The 16,173-nt window shown below is 43.9% G+C and overlaps 1 annotated feature.

Annotated features, from left to right (window-relative positions):
- Nucleotides 3,532-3,826: a silencer, noted in NCBI's record as "tiled region #9242; HepG2 Repressive non-DNase unmatched - State 22:ReprW". NCBI's record gives its function as "represses a minimal TATA promoter and a strong SV40 promoter by Sharpr-MPRA in HepG2 cells {active_cell/tissue: HepG2}" and the evidence as "EXISTENCE:reporter gene assay evidence [ECO:0000049][PMID:27701403]".

Here is a 16,173-nt window from a genome sequence, read left to right as displayed (position 1 = left end):
TAAAGGCCTTCTTTAAATTAGTGTCTGGGGAATCTGGTGTACTGCCTGTGGAGTGCTCCTGAAAATATTCCCTGGAGGAGGAACAGTGCCCTAGGAAAGGCAGAAGTTAGGCCTAACAGAAATCAGAAGACCATGCTTTTTTAAAAATTACTTTTAGACAGTGTCTCGGTCTGTCACCCAGACTGGAGTGCAGTGGTGCGATCTTAGCTGACTTAACCTCTGCCTCCCCAGTTCAAGTAATTTTCGTGCCTCAGCCTCCTGAGTAGCTGGGATTACAGGCGCCTGCCCCCACGCCCAACTAATTTTTTTGTTTTTTTAGGAGAGACAGGGTTTCACATTGTTGGCCAGGCTGGTCTCGAACTCCTGACCTCAGGTGATCTACCCACCTCAGCCTCCCAAAGTGCTGAGATTACAGGCATGAAGACCATGCATTTTAACAACTATGATTGTATTAGTTAGGACTGTTTTCCCTACAGCAGACAGAAACCCAACTTGATTTGGCAGACGCAAAAAAGGAATGTATTGTAAAATATAGTTGAGTGTCTCTCAAAACCTACAGGTAGATTGTGTTTGGGCCTGTGAAACAACTGGAATCAGGGGCTCAAAAACAGCTGCAACATTTCTTGTCCTAGTTTCTTTTTGGGTGTTAACTTCATTATTTTCACTCACAGCAAGAGCTTCTCCTACATAGTGGAATACATGGTCACTGCTAATGCCTGAATTTTGCATCTTATCATTTCAGCCACCCTCTGGGTCTCAAGTCTAAGAGGTCCAGAGAAGAGCTTTAATTGGTCCATGCAGATCTCACTTTTTAACCAATCAGCTGTGTCCAGGGGCAGGTCACATGTCCAAAATGGCTACTCCCATGATGACCACGAGGATTAGAGTGATGCAGGCAGTAATGTGGGGAAGCTCCTAAATAACCAGAGAAGCTGGGTGGACAAAAAGTATTGTGTCCAAAATTGGTGGGTTCGGGGTCCGACTTCAGGAATGAAGCCGCAGACCCTCGCGGTGAGTGTTAGAGTTCTAAAGGTGGTGTGTCCAGAGTTTGTTCCTTCTGATGTTCAGACGTGTGCAGAGTTTCTTCCTTCTGGTGGGCTCATGGTCTCGCTGGCTTCAGGAGTGAAGCTGCAGACCTTGGCAGTTAGTGTTACAGCTCTTAAGGTGGCACATCTGGAGTTGTTCATTCCTCGCGGTGGGTTCGTGGTCTCGATGGCCTCAGGAGTGAAGCTGCAGACCTTCTTGGTGTTACAGCTCATAAAGGCAGTGTGGACCCAAAGAGTGAGCAGCAGCAAGATTTATTGCAAAGAGCAAAAGAACAAACCTTCCACACTGTGGAAGGGGACCCGAGGGGGTTGCCACTGCTGGCTCCGGCAGTCTGCTTTTATTCCCTTATCTGGCCCCACCCACATCCTGCTGATTGGTCCATTTTACAGAGAGCTGATTGGTCTGTTTTACAGATAGCTGATTGGTCCATTTTGACAGGGTGATGATTGGTGCATTTACAATCCCTGAGCTAGACACAGAAGTTCTCCAAGTACCCACTAGATTAGATAGACACAGAGCACTGATTGGTGCGTTTACAAACCTTGAGCTAGACACAGAGTGCTGGTTGGTGTATCTACAATCCCTTAGCTAGACATAAAAGTTCTCCAAGTCCCCACTAGACTCAGGAGCCCAGCTGGCTTCACCTAGCAGATCCTGCACCAGGGTGGCAGGTGGAGCTGCCTGCCAGTTCTGCACCATGCACCTGCACTCCTCAGCCCTTGGGCAGTTGATGAGACCGGGTGCCATGGAGCAGGGGGCGGCTCTCGTCGGGGAGGCTTGGGCCACGCAGGAGCCCACGGCATGATGTGGAGGCTCAGGCATGACTGGCTGCAGGTCCGAGCCCTGCCCCATGGGGAGGCAGCTGAGGCCTGGCGAGAATTTGAGTGCGGTGTTGGTGGGCCGTCACTGCTCGGGGAACTGGTGCACCCTCTGCAGCTGCTGGCCCGGGTGCTAAGTCCCTCAGCTGGCAGTGCCAGCTGGCTGCTCAGAGTGCGGGCCCGCTGAGCCCATGCCCACCTGGCACTCGTGCTGGCCAGCGAGCAGCGTGCGCAGCCTCCGTTCCCTCCTGTGCCTCTCCCTCCACACCTCCCTGCAAGCAGAGGGAGCCGGCTCCGGCCTTGGCCAACCCAGAGAGGGACTCCCACAGTGCAGTGGCCGGCTGAAGGGCTCCTCAAGTGTGGCCAGAGTGGGCGCCGAGGCTGAGGTGGTGCTGAGAGTGAGCCAGGGCTGCCAAGGCTGCCAGTACACTGTCACCTCTCAGTATGGCCACACAGGATGATGATATGGTTCATGACATTCATCACCAGGTCCTCTTTATCAGTTTCCTACTGCTGTGAAACAAATTTCTACAAACTTAATAGCTTAAAGAAAAACCTGTTTATGACCTCAGTTCTGTAGCTCAGAAGTCTGGGTGTAGCATGGATTGGTTCTCAGAGTTTCACAAGGTTGAGGTGAAAGCTTGTCAAAGTGTCAGCCAGGCTCTCATCTTGAGATCAGGATCCTCTTCCAAGTTCATATGGTTGTGGCAGAATTCAGTCTCTTGAGGTTGCAGGACTGAGGTACCTATTTCCTTAGCTGTCAGCCACGGCTCCACTCTCCTAGAGGCTGGCATATTCCTTGCTGTATGGCCCACTCAGTATTCAAAGCCAGCAATGGATAATGTTTCTCCTGTTGAATCCTTCTGATGCTTCCAGTTGTCTTGCTAGGAAGAGCCCTACTCCTTTTAATGGATCACCTGACTTGGTCAGGCCCACTGAAGAGAATCTCTGCAAGTTGAGGACAAAGCCCTCCATAGGACTGACCCCACTTTAGATGCAAGTGAGATCCAAGGCCACCCTTCTGATTGACTGGCTATAAATTTGTGGGTTCCTATAACCTTCTCAAGTTTGATAATTCACTACGATGACACAAAACTCAGAAAAGCAATACTTATGATTATAGTTTTATTATAAAAGATGCGTAGAGTGGGGGCTATAGGGAACATAGAGCTTCTACACACTTGTCCTCATGGAGTCAAAGGTTCATCACTCTCCAGGCACATCCAAATGGTCACCAACCACAAATTTCCAACCATCCTTGGTGTCCAGAGTTTTTACTGGAGTTTCATTATGTGTTCATGATTGATTACATAAGTCATTGGGCATGTAATTGAACTCAGTCTCCATTCCCTCTCTCCTCTCTGGAGGTCCAAAATTCCAACCCTCTAATCATGTAGTTGGTCTTTTTTTTTTTTTTTTTTTTTTTAAGACGGAATCTTGCTCTGTCTCCCACGCTGGAGTGCACTGGTGCACTGCAAACTCCGCCTCCCATGCTCACGCCATTCTTCTGCCTCAGCCTCCCAAGTAGCTGAGGCTACAGGTGCTGGCCACCATGCCTGGCTAATTTTTTGTATTTTTGGTAGAGACGGGGTTTCAGTGTGTTAGCCAGGATGATCTTGATCTCCTGATCTCGTGATCTACCCGCCTCGGCCTCCCAAAGTGCTGGGATTACAAGCGTATCACGCTCAGCCTGTGGTTGGTCTTTCTGGTGACCAGACCCCATTCTGAAGCTATCTAGTGGCCCACAATGAGTCACTTCATTAGCATAGCAAAGACATTCCCCTCACTCAGGAAATCCCAAGGCTTTTAAGAACTCTAAGCCTAAAACCCAGGACAAAGACCAGACAAATTCTTTATTTTACCCCAGGGTTGTCTTGGAATTCTGCCTACTACACCTATCCTGTCACATCATCCTTAACCAAGTCCTTCAAAGGCCATCGGAGATGCCCTCTCCTTTGGGAGCCTTTCCCCATCACCTCAACTGGATATGCTCTTTCCCATCTTTAAACTCCTATAAAAGTGTGTTTTTTTTTTACTCTAACTTTTCCTTTATTACCACAAATTCTAATCCTTGTTACAAGTTTTCTCCCTGTAACTAGACTGCAAATTACATGCAAACACAAACTGCTTATTTATATAAATGACTTCTTTGATTTAAATACAGCAAGAGCTCCAAAAATATTTACCTAATCAAATTGAATATTACAGGTGAAACTGCCTTGTAATAAAGTGTTCTTGAAATTAGATAACTAAATCATTTGAGATGGAGACAACCCCTCCACAAAAGCACCCTTTATGGTGTTGAAGGAGGTGTGTGGGAAGATGACAGTATACTATATTTTTTTCAGACTCAATTTATTTTTCTGCCATTTAATATATGATATCCACATCTTAGGGGGAGGTCTGGGACACCTAGGAAAAATGTGTAAACTCTTCCATTAGTTTCTTGGGGACTAAGAAAATATGCAGTATTTGCAAGACTGAAAAACTGGGTATCATGGCAAAAGAAGAGCCTAGGATTGTTAATCCCTGTGTATTACACCCACATGAAACACTTACCATGAAGACAGGAAGCATCTTTACAGCTTTTTCAGCTTGAAAACTCTTGACATGTCTTGTAAGATCACAGGCATAATTGTGATTTCATGAGGGCAGATAACTAGTATTATAGGTGAAAGCATTAGCAAGAGACATTACAGTGGGTCATTGAGATCGGGGGTCCTGAACTCCTGGGCCACGGACTGGTACTGGACCACAAAGCAGGAGGTGAGTGGCAGGTGAGCAAAGGTTCATCTGTATTTATAGCCATTCCTCATCACTCACATTACCACCTGCCTCAGCTCTGCCTCCTGTCAGATCAGCGGTGGCATTATATTCTCATAGGAGCGTGAACCCTACTGTGAACATGCGAAAGATCTAGGTTGTTTGCTCCTTATGAGAATCTAATGCCTGATGATCTGTCCCTATCTCCCATTGCCCCCAGATGGGATGTCTAGTTGCAGGAAAACAAGCTCAGGGCTGCCACTGATTCTACATTATGGTGAGTCATATAAGTATTTCATTATATATCACAATGTAATAGTAATAGAAATAAAGTGCACAATAAATGTAATAGGCTTGAATCATCCTGAAACCATCTCCCCTGCCCCTCCCTGGTCTGTGAAAAAACTGTCTTTCATAAAACTGGTCCCTGGTGTCAAAAAGGTTGGGAATCACTGATTTCAATGTTTCCATTTTTTTTCCCCCAGGAAAGAGCAAAGCACTCCTCCATCTTATGGTGGACTCACAATAGTCACTGCCTTTATCTTTGCTTCAACTTTTGCACTCCTCTCTCCCAAATAGTGTATTTTCTATCTACTTTAATATCCATTTTCAGAAAGGACTAACTCTAGATGAATGGTGTTCTGTTTAAATGAAAGACTAAAACCAAGTCAAAAACCTGCCCTCAAGAGTTGGAAGCAATGTCCCGGCTTGAGGTGTACCTCACAGGGACCTAGGCAGTGCCACCAGCTTTCCTTGGTGCCTCCAGCCTGTCACTGCATCTTCCAGCACACTGGAAACTGTTGATTTCTTTCCAAGTGAAAATATTGGGTAATTTTGGTGTCAAAGCTGCAAACATTGAATCAGAACTGACCATGATTTCTCAAGCCTCGAGCTCTCTTCCTCATCTGCACTTCTGGCAGTTTAAAAGTTCCTCTTAATCCCCCCGCTTTGTTTCTTTCAAGTCTGTTTACCATTTTTTCTGAGGGGTGTTTGCTCTATACGCTGTTATGAGGTCCAGAGTGTCTAATTGACAAATTATGTTGTGCTTTTGGAGGCTTTAAGTAATCATTTAAAATAAATAAGATCATAATTATCAGTTTTCATTTACCCATTTATTAAGTAACAATGTTCACACTGAGCAGTTTGATTTTGTTTTATAATAAGGCAATCTCTACATGATGACAGATGGTGTTTCATTTTGCCGACACTGTGCTAAAGTGCTTTGAGTTGTGATGTGTTTGATTTTATTAGAGATCAGATTTAACACATGCATGCTACATAACTGCAATCGCATTCCCATTTCTCATCTGTAGGAGAAAATGAAACTGTGATGAAATGTAATATACTCACCCTCAGGCAGAACTAGTGGGACTGGGAATTGCAACATAATAAATCTAATGGATATTACACTATAGGACCCTAGAAATTTACTGTTATTATGTTCAGGGAAGGAACTTGGTTTTGTAAAACTCACTTTTATTTCACTGGCATCAGTGCAATTTCACATTATTTAACTGTTGTGTCCCAATAGCAGAGATGGTATTTGTGATGTTGAAAAGGAAACTTGCCCGCCAAAGAACACAGGGGTCCAGGAACCCAGAGGAGGCAGCAAGGGGAAACAGCCAAAAAATTGCATTTACCAAATGCAAATCACAATGATGGCACATCATTAACAATGGATTGTTGGGATTGTCAAATTAAGCCTCATTTAGCCATGCTGTCAGTGTGGCACCCATTGGAGAAAGACACATCAGTGAAAACATTTACTATGATATTGAGTCCTTATATTTTCAGCCATCCTTACTGCCACCCCTTAGGGGGATGGTGTGGGAAAGCAAGTTAATTACACATCTAGTTATTGGTGTGACTGTGGATAGAGCTTTTCCTAATGAAGCCATTGTCAAGTGGAATGCTGAAGGTCCGGGAGGTTCCTTCAGTGCTCATGTGTCAACAGGTGAAGCCCCCTGACTCCCCATTGCTAACTGAAGTTTGGTGTAATGATATCTACCCTGTTCCATGTCAACAGCCTCCCAAATGGTCTTCCTGCTTCTAGCTCTACCTTCTGTTATTCATCATAGATTGCCTCTCCTTACTCTTTCTAAGTGACTGCTTTCACCATGTTGTTTCATGCTCAAAAGCCTCAGTAACTCCCCATTGCCTGGTATTCACACCCTTCCTAATTCAGCTCTGATCTAACAATTCCTTAAAATAAATCTGTTATTCCAGAGAAGTTGGTCTTTTCATTGTTCTTCAAACATGACAAATTCATTTCTTTATTCTTTTTGGTGTTGGGCACTTTAGGTTTTGAGTGACAAAAATCCAACTCAAATCTGTTTAGGCAGAAGGGGAAGTTTATGAGATTATACATGAGGGAGGCAGGGTAGCTGGATCCTTGGCATAGATGGAACTAGGAACCAAAATGCTTCTTGGGTGGTCTCTCTTAGTCTTTGCTGCTACCTCGACATGAAAATTCGGATTTTCTTTATTGTCAAACTACTTCCATAGGAGAGGGGCTATCAGAGGAGAGGATGTGAAACTATCAGTCTCCATGGTTTTAGGTTCAAAAATTCTAAGGAAGAGCTTTGATTGGCCCATTTTGTGTCAGGGGTTTGTCTCTGGTATGGTGGCAATGGCAAAGAGATTGGGCCCTGTCATTGGCCTAACTTAGTTTAAGATAAGCTCCACCCACAATAATTCTGCCCAGGAAGGTGGGATCTGTAACATGATTTGAATAGGGGCCAGGCACAGTGGCTCACGCTTGTAATCTCAGCACTTTGGGAGGCTGAGGTAGGTGGATCACTTGAGGTTAGGAGTTCAAGACCAGCCTGGCCAACATGGTGAAACCCTCTCTCTACTAAAAATACAAAAATTAGTCAGGCATGTGCCTGTAATCCCAGCTATTCAGGAGGCTGAGGTGAGAGAATCACTTGAATCCTGGCGGCGGGCAGAGGTTGCAGTGAGCCACGATCATGCCACTGCACTCCAGCTTGGATGACAGAGTGAGACTTTATCTCAGGAAGCAAAAAAAAAAAAAAAAAAAAAAAAAAAAAGAATAGGGGTGTGGAGCAGAGCCCAGGAAAGGAGGCTATTCTGGTACTCTGGGCTGCCAAAATCACTGATGCTACCACAATGCGGTTTATGAGGTTGCCCTTCCCTCCCTCCTATCTCAATCTGACAATCTACCTTAGAGAATGAAAGGTCAAGGTTAGGGAGATAAATCTATAAAATAAATCCTATAAAACATGGATATTATCTAAAGTAATCCCCACAGATGCCCAGTAAAAATGGGACTATTGTCCATATTTTACAGGTGAGCTTAGAAAAGCTATTTACCTTGGTTAGGTCATTCAACCAGTAAATGGCTGAGCCAGGTTTAGAAACCAGCTCTGTTGGACTCTGTTCATAGTTTTGAGCATGTAGGAGGGATTTAGTTCTCTTGAACTATGCTAAAAAAGAAAATTCTAAAGTACCTGGATACCTTATTTATATGATCCAAAACACATGGTTGATTGAAAACATATGACTACTCAATTTTCTTGATTTTACATTTAGGTTACTTAAAAGCAGGCAGATAGGGTAGAAGGATAATTATCCAGTTGTATTTCCTTGGGAACAGGACTAGTTCTTATCATGTCTCACTCAACAAATATTTATTGACACCTTCCATGTAAATCAGTTAATTACGTCATACACCATTTTCTTTTTATATTTTATGTTTTTACACCATTTGCATTCATGCATATGGCCTCAGTTTCATTCAAACTGGTTATCTCACTATTTTCTGACTTTTTCTGCCTCATGTTCGCAGGTGCCATTTCTTCTGCTTACAATACCTCCTTCCTTCCCTCTGCGGCTGTAAAATTCTGCTTATTCTTTAAAGCTTGATTCAAACTCTATTTCCTCTCTGACCTCAAATGCCCCTCCCCACCCTGATCTACCAATGTCAATGATGTTCTCTTTTCTCTAAATACAGTATTGGGGAAATTACTTGGTTTTGGTTAGCCTCTCAAGCCAACATATAATTGCAAGCTTCTGGAGGGCTAGAATGGTGTCACGCTTTTCAGGATCCCCATAGCAACTACTGCAGTGCTAGATGCATAGCAGGTGTTGAATTAGTATTGTTTGTTAAGATAAGAAATACTCATATATTAATATTATTTAAATAAATGCACTGGATTTCTATAGACTACCAACAATGCCTTTGTAAACATTAAAGAAGGTAGTATATTCTGGTAAGAATGCAAATTAGTTGAACCAATATGGAAAGCAGCTTGGTGATTTTCAAACCACAGCTACTATTCAACCCAGCAATTGCATTATTGGGTATATAACTAAAGGAATATAAATTGTTTTGCCCTAAACACACATGCATGTGTATGTTCATTGCAACACTATTCACAACAGCAAAGACATGGAACCAACCTAAATGCCCATCAATAATGGATTGGATAAAGAAAATGTGGTTCATATACACCATGGGATACTATGCAGCCATAAAAAGAATGAGATCATGTCCTTTGCAGCAACATGGATGGAACTGGAGGTCATTATCCTAAGAAAATTAACACAGGAATAGAAATTCAAATACCATATATTCTTACTTATAAATGGTAGCTAAACATTAAGTATACATGGACACAAAGAGGAAAACAACAGACACCGGGGCCTACTTGAGCATGGAGGGTGGGAGGAGGGTAAGGATCCAAAAACTACCTATCAAGTACTATGCTTATTACCTGGGTGATGAAATAATTTGCACACCAAGCCCCCGTAACACACAGTTTACTTATATAACAAACCTACACATGTACCCCTGAACCTAAAATAAAAGTTAAAAAAAATTAAAAAGGTAGTATAATGTAGTGTTAAGAGTTCAGACGTTGCAGTTAAAGCAGGGTTTGAATTCCGGCTTATGTTTTAATTGTTGTAGAATTCTAGGTAAGCCTCAGTTCCTTCATTTGTGAAGTGGCTACAGGACTTTCTATTCATAGAGATTTCTGTTGTGAGAATTGCCTGAGATGCACTTTATGAAGTGCTTAGCCTAGTACCTGATGCATTGCCGGGCACAGTAAGTGGTAAGTAGGTATAGGGGAGGTTACCCGAGCATATGATCTCTACCTAAAGAAACACATTCCAGGCCAGGTGTGGTGGCTCATGGTTGTAATCCCAGCAATTTGGGAGGCTGAGGTGGGCAGATCACTTGAGCTCAGGAGTTTGAGACAAGCCTGGGCAACATGGTGAAACCCTATCTCTACAAAAAATACAAAAGTTAGCTGGGTGTGGTGGCAGGTGTCTCTAGTCCCAGCTACTCAGTAGGCTGAGGCAGGAGAGTCACTTGCACCCAGTAGGTGGATGTTGCAGTGAGCCAAGATTGTGCCATTGCACTCCAACCTGGGCAATGGGAGTGAAACCCTATTTCAAAATAAAAAAGAGTACATTCCAATTAAATTATTAGAAAAGGATAAGTTTTCAACCAAATTTGACAGGTAGTTATTATATGTCATTGCATTATAAGACATTTTGTTAATTTCCTTATCGAACCCTCAGTGTGGGGAATGGGAAAGGGAGGATGATTCCTGTAGATAGGGTTGATGGGAAGGCTTCTCAGGAGGTGACACTTGCCTCTAGACCTGAGTGACAGAGAATCAGCCATGTGAAAGTCTGGAAGAATAACATTCCAGACAGAGGGAACTACAAGTGAGAAGGCCCTGAGGAGGGAAGACTACGCTTGAGGCATAGAAGGAAGGCCACACCAGCTGGAGCTTAGTGAATTTGGGGAGGTAAGCAGAGCTCAGATTGCACCAGGCTTGTTAAACCTTAACAATGAGTTGGAATTTTATTCCAATTTCAGTAAGAAGCCATTGGAAGGTTTTAGCAAAGGAGTCATCTGATAGCCAGTGTTCAAGGTGGCCGCCAAGAATCTTTGCTTCCTATTATTCAGACTCTCCCACATTGAATAAGACTAACCTGTAATTAACAGACTATTGTGGAAAAAGCAGCAAGTGACTTCGGAGGCGAAGCTGTAAAAGATGCTGGGCTTCTGTCTTGCTCTCTCTCATTCATTCATTCTGGAAGAAGACAGTTGCTGTGCCATGAAGACATTCAAGCAGCTTTAGAAGGGGTCTGTTTGGTGAGGAACTCAGGCCTCCTGCCAACAGTCGTGTGAGTGAGCCACCTTGGAAATGGATCTTCCTGCCTCAGTTGAGGCTTCAAATGATTGCAGCTTCAGCTAACATTTTGACTGCAACCTCAGGAGACACCTGAAATCAGAACCACCTAACTAAGCTACTCAAGTTCCTGGTCTTCAGAAACTATGTGAGATACTATTTTTTTTTTGTCTTAAGCTGCTAAATTTTGGAGTAATTTGTTCTGCAGCAATAAATAATTCAAGTGGTATCATCTGATTGTGATTTTCTATCCTTGGCCTGCTGGATGGACAAAGAACTTTGGAGGGGTAAAGAGTAGAAGCAAAGAGAACATTGGCAAGGCTTGGTAGGTATTCAGATGAATGATGGCGGTGGCTTGAACCAAGGGTGGTGTATTTGTCTGTTCTCATGCTGGTAATAAAAACATACCCGAGACTGGGTAAGTTATAAAGAAAAAGAGGTTTAACGGACTCACAGTTCTACATGGCTGGGGAGGTCCCACAATCATGGCAGAAGGCAAAAGAGGAGCAAAGGCACGTCTTATAAGGTGGCAGACAAGAGAGCATGTGCAGGGGAACTGCCCTTTATGAAAACATCAGATCTCATGAGACTTATTACTATTATGAGAACAACAGGGGAAAGAGCTAACCCCATGATTCAATTACCTTCCACTGGGTCCCTCCCACGACATGTGGGGATTATGGGAGCTACGATTCAAGATGAGATGTGGGTGGGGGCACAGCCAAACCATATCAGGGGGTATCTCCAGGGGTGGTAAGAAACAGTCAGCTTTCGTGGAGCTGATGTGATCTGCTGATGGATTCACTGATGAGGCTTTGGGGTTCAAGGAATTAAGGTTGACTCCTTCCTTTTTGGTCTGAGCAAGTTGGTGAACAGTGGTCCCATTTCTTGAAAGGAGTTAATCAGTTTGGAGAAAAAAATCTAGACTCCATGAGGCACAAAATAAAGACTGTGTTGAATGAAAGAAAGTGAGACAGTTTAACCAGAAGCAGTTTTTCTGTCACCTACAGAGTTACAAATAAGAACTGTCTATGTTTCAATAAAAACACCTTCAGTCAGAACCTTGGAACTGGCTTCCTTCTTCTCAATTAAGTAGAAGACAATTAAATTAGAGTTCAGCTTCGAGGAGTTCATTATGCCTCATCGAAAATGATAAATGACTCTTGGTGACCTCATCACCTCTACAACACGGTCCCACCTCGTTTTTCAAAGAGCTAATGAAACCGATGGATTTCTCCCTCCTCAGTAGCAGGGCCAACACAAACAGAGTGCACACCATGAAATGTGAGGAAGCTGAGAAGGAGGCAGGAGAGAAAAGGGAAGAGAAAACCCACAGTGGACATTTTGACAATTGGCCAAAGCGACTTTGAAGTGCAAGCTTGGAAAAAAAAAAAAAAACACACAAAAACCCACCTATCTACATATTGATTTACTCTCTGTTCCATTGTTTTCAACCACCTCTGCTTGTCAAACAACACTGAAGGTTGTGTGTGTGTGTATATATCTGTGTGTGTGTATGTGTGTGTGTTGAGAGGCACAGGCCTGCCCTTTTAAGTTGGAAAGAAATAAAGTGATGGGAACAAAGGAAGGGAAAATGATAACAGGGAGTGCTTTGGTGTTGACAAAGACGTCCATTAGTCCATTAGTACTTGCTTTCTCTTAAAATTACCTTGAGCTAGAGCAAGAACTTGAATTACTCTGCCTGCTTCGCTGGGAAGGAGCAAAGCTGTCTTCAGAACTTGGAGGTAGCCAGAGGAAGGGGTTAGGAGCAGGAGCTTCCGATCTGGGCTTGAGTTCTGGTTCTCTGGCTATTCAGCTGTGTGGCCTTAAGAATGTTACTTAACCTCTTTGAGCCTCTTCATCTACAAAATGGGAATAATCTTATTGCACAGGCTTGGTGTGAAGAGTGAGTGATATTATACACACCAGACACTTAGCTACTTCCAATCATAGGACAAACACTCAGGAGGAGGCAATTGTCTTAGCTGTTGTTTTATTCTGACTCCCAAGTTAATATATATATTTTTTCATTGTATTACTTCTTACATTCTGAGTGTCAAGGAACTTTATTTAAAATACATGCTTTATTGGAAGGCTGTAGTGGGAGGATCACTTGAGCCCAGGAGTTTGAGACCAGCCTCGGCAACATAGGGAGAACCCCCACCTCTCTTCTCTACAAAAAATTTAAAAATCAGCCAAGCATGGTAGCATGCGCCTATGGTCCCAGTTACTAGAGAGGTTGAGGCAGGAGGATCGCTTGAGCCCAGGAGGTCAAGGCTGCAGCAAGCCATGATTGTGCCACTGCACTCCAGCCTGGGTCACAGACAGAGACCCTGTCTCAAAAACAAAAACCAAAAAAACAAAAATCAAAATACACACATGAGGCTGGGCGCAGTGGCTCACGCCTGTAATCCCAGCATTTTGGGAGGCCGAGGTGGGCAGATCACGAGGTCAGGAGTTTGAGACCAGTCTGACCAACATGGTGAAACCTTGTCTCTCAAGTGTCCTGAGTATAATTCTATTATTTGCATTGCTGACCTCTGTTTATATTCTATCTACAATTTTCCTAGTATTTTAAAGTATATCTTTCATTTACCTTCACAGAAACTGTGAAGTACTAATAACAGCCATGGTTTATTGAATGTGTATTATGTGCTAGACACTGTCCTAAGGGCCTGGCAGGCACCATGGAAGCCAGCAAGAGAATGTGCACTCAGGCTCTGGATCCAGATGGTTGGGAGTTGAACCCTAGCTGGGTGACCTTGGGCAAGTCACTTAAACTCTCTTGGCCTCAGTTTCTCATATGTAAATGCCTTTACACTTGTAAAGCTCTTAGAAGCACATCTGGCATATAATAAGTATTCAAAAAATGTTAGCTAGCTCAATTAATCTTCACAATTACCTGAGAGAGAGTTACCATTATTTCTGTTTTACAGATGAGAAAACTGAGGTATGGAAAAAGGTGCCCATTTCCCAAGGTCATCAGGGTGCTGCTCATCAGAGCCACAAACAAGATCTGTGTGACTCCAGAGCCTTTGTTCTGTTAGGGACACACATCACTTCCTCCCAAGGATGATCGTTACCTTCATTCTGCGGAGGAGGAAACTGAGGATCAGAGAGAAAATGTGTTTGCCTGAGCCTCGATGTCCAATAAGCAAAAGAGCCAGGACTCCCTTTCTAATCTTTGATTCCTGGTCCAGCTCAGTGACCAAAACACTGTGTCCTTTTTTAGAGATCATTAAAGCCACGGTCTATGCTTTGGGAGGCCAAGGCAGGAGGATCACTGTAGGCTGGAAGTTCAAGGCCAGGCTGGGCAACATAGTGAGACACTGTCTCTACAACAACAATAAAAAAATTAGCCAGGCATGGTGGCGCAAACCTGTAGTCCCAGCTACTCAGGTGACAGGAGGCTGAGGCGGGAAAATCATTTGAGCCTGGGAGTTCAAGACTGCAATGAGCTATTGTTGCACTACTGCATTCCAGCCTGGGGAGCAGAGTGAGACTCTGTCTCTTAAAAAACAACGAAACAAAACAAAACCAGAGTCTATCAGTGATTTGAGTAAGAGGGTGAGCAGTGAAGGAGAGGAAGAAGAGGAGGATTTCAAGTGTCTGGAGCGGAGAACTGACTTGCTGACAAGTCTGTGACTGACTCTGTCCCCAACCTGAGCTTGATGAAAGAAAGTGGTATTCCAATGACAATAATCATCAACAACAAGAACAAGTGTTTATTGGCGTTTACTGTTCCAGGACCAGCACTAGATGATTTTCATGCATCATTTTATTTCTCACAGCAAGTTTACAAGCAAAGTCCTACAGGATCCTTATTCTAGATGTGGGAAACCCAAAGCTCTGAGAGAGAACTACTTTGTCACCTGAAGTATCACATGGTGAGAATGTTGTAGAGCCAGGATTTGAACCTGAATCGGTCAACTTCCAAACTTGTTCTCTGAAAAACTTCACCACTATTATGTGTTCTGTGCCATCCCCCAATGGCCACAGCCACAGAGTTTCAGCGTCCTCCTTTTCCTTTCCTTTCTCTTTATTTTCTCTCTTAAGCTTTCTCTCTTACAGGTGGGAGTGTCTCATGAGTCTAGGACATGTGTAAATTTGGTAAGCGCTCCCCCAACCCCAACAGTGGAGGACTTTTCTATGATTCCTCTTCGTACTCAGCACTTTATCTGCTTGCCTTCCATTGATTGAGCAAATGCAAAGTGTCTTCATTATCCAAATGTGACCCAAACTTCCCCAGCCTCACTGTCATCCCATCCTTTGAACTAGTCCATGAGCTGAATGAGTGGGGCCTGGGTAGCACCCAACACCTATAAGGCAGCTCACTAAAATTAATTAAATGTAGAATGAATACCTCAATACATTGATTGAGTATCAGTGACATGTCAGTGCTGCTGGAGACTCATAATCTGTTAAGCTTCCCAACACTGCAGAGAGGAGGGGTTAACGTCCTCATTTTTGAGGGTGGACAGCTGCCCAGAGCCACTCAACTGATAAGGAGCAAAGCCAGAATTTGAGGCCAGCCCTTCACAAGACCAGCTCTTTTTGCAACATCACTTGGTGAAATGGCCGTTGTCTTGACAATAAGAGGCAGCAGACAGTGGGCTCTGGAGATGGCTGAACAGGGAGTCAGGACACCTGCAGGCTCACCGTGGCTCAGCTGAGGCCTCCTTTCCTGACCGCACACAGGTCCCTGCCCTGCTCTGGTCTCAGTGTCTGTACTGCAGGGAGGAAAGGGTTGACTCAGATCAGTGTTTTCCAGCATGTGGAGTGTGGGCCTACAGGAGGGCTTTAAGAAGCCAGATCATTAACTAACATCAATTCACTCGGGGGGAAAAGACAATTCACTTTATATTTCATGTCAGTTCTTCTCATTACCCCAAGAAGAAGAGCTGAGTGTGATTCATTCATTCATTCAACACATATATTGAGAATGCCTAGTGTGTGGCAAGCACATTCTAATGGGGTTGAGGCAGTGAACTGCACAGAAAAGGGCCTTGCTCTCATGGAGCTTGTATTCAGTAAGGTCGGGGGGAAGGTAGCAAGTAGGGTGTTAACAATAACAACAGAAGGTATAAAAGAATGAACATAGGGTGAGGTGCAAAAGGCAGGCTGGCTTGAGCTCCATGTCCAACGATACAATTGGAAGTGAGGAGATGGAGCAACCGAGAGGCCAAGTTAATGGATAGTGAAGTCATACCCAGTGGATGTGGAAGTTACCAAGAAAGGTACAGGATGTGGAGGGGAGGAAGACAGTAAACCCTGTTGGAGTCATCAGTGATGGAGGGAGTTAGCTGGGGGCTGGGTGTTTAGGGGTGGCTGTGGATCTATAAATGACTTAAGGAGGGTTGGCTGACGATCAGATCATG

Source organism: Homo sapiens, chromosome 16 (assembly GCF_000001405.40).
Source record: "Homo sapiens chromosome 16, GRCh38.p14 Primary Assembly".
Classification (NCBI taxonomy): Eukaryota; Metazoa; Chordata; class Mammalia; order Primates; family Hominidae; genus Homo; species Homo sapiens.
The sequence above is the reverse complement of the archived record's forward strand: the minus strand, read 5'-3'. Positions and strand labels throughout refer to the sequence as shown.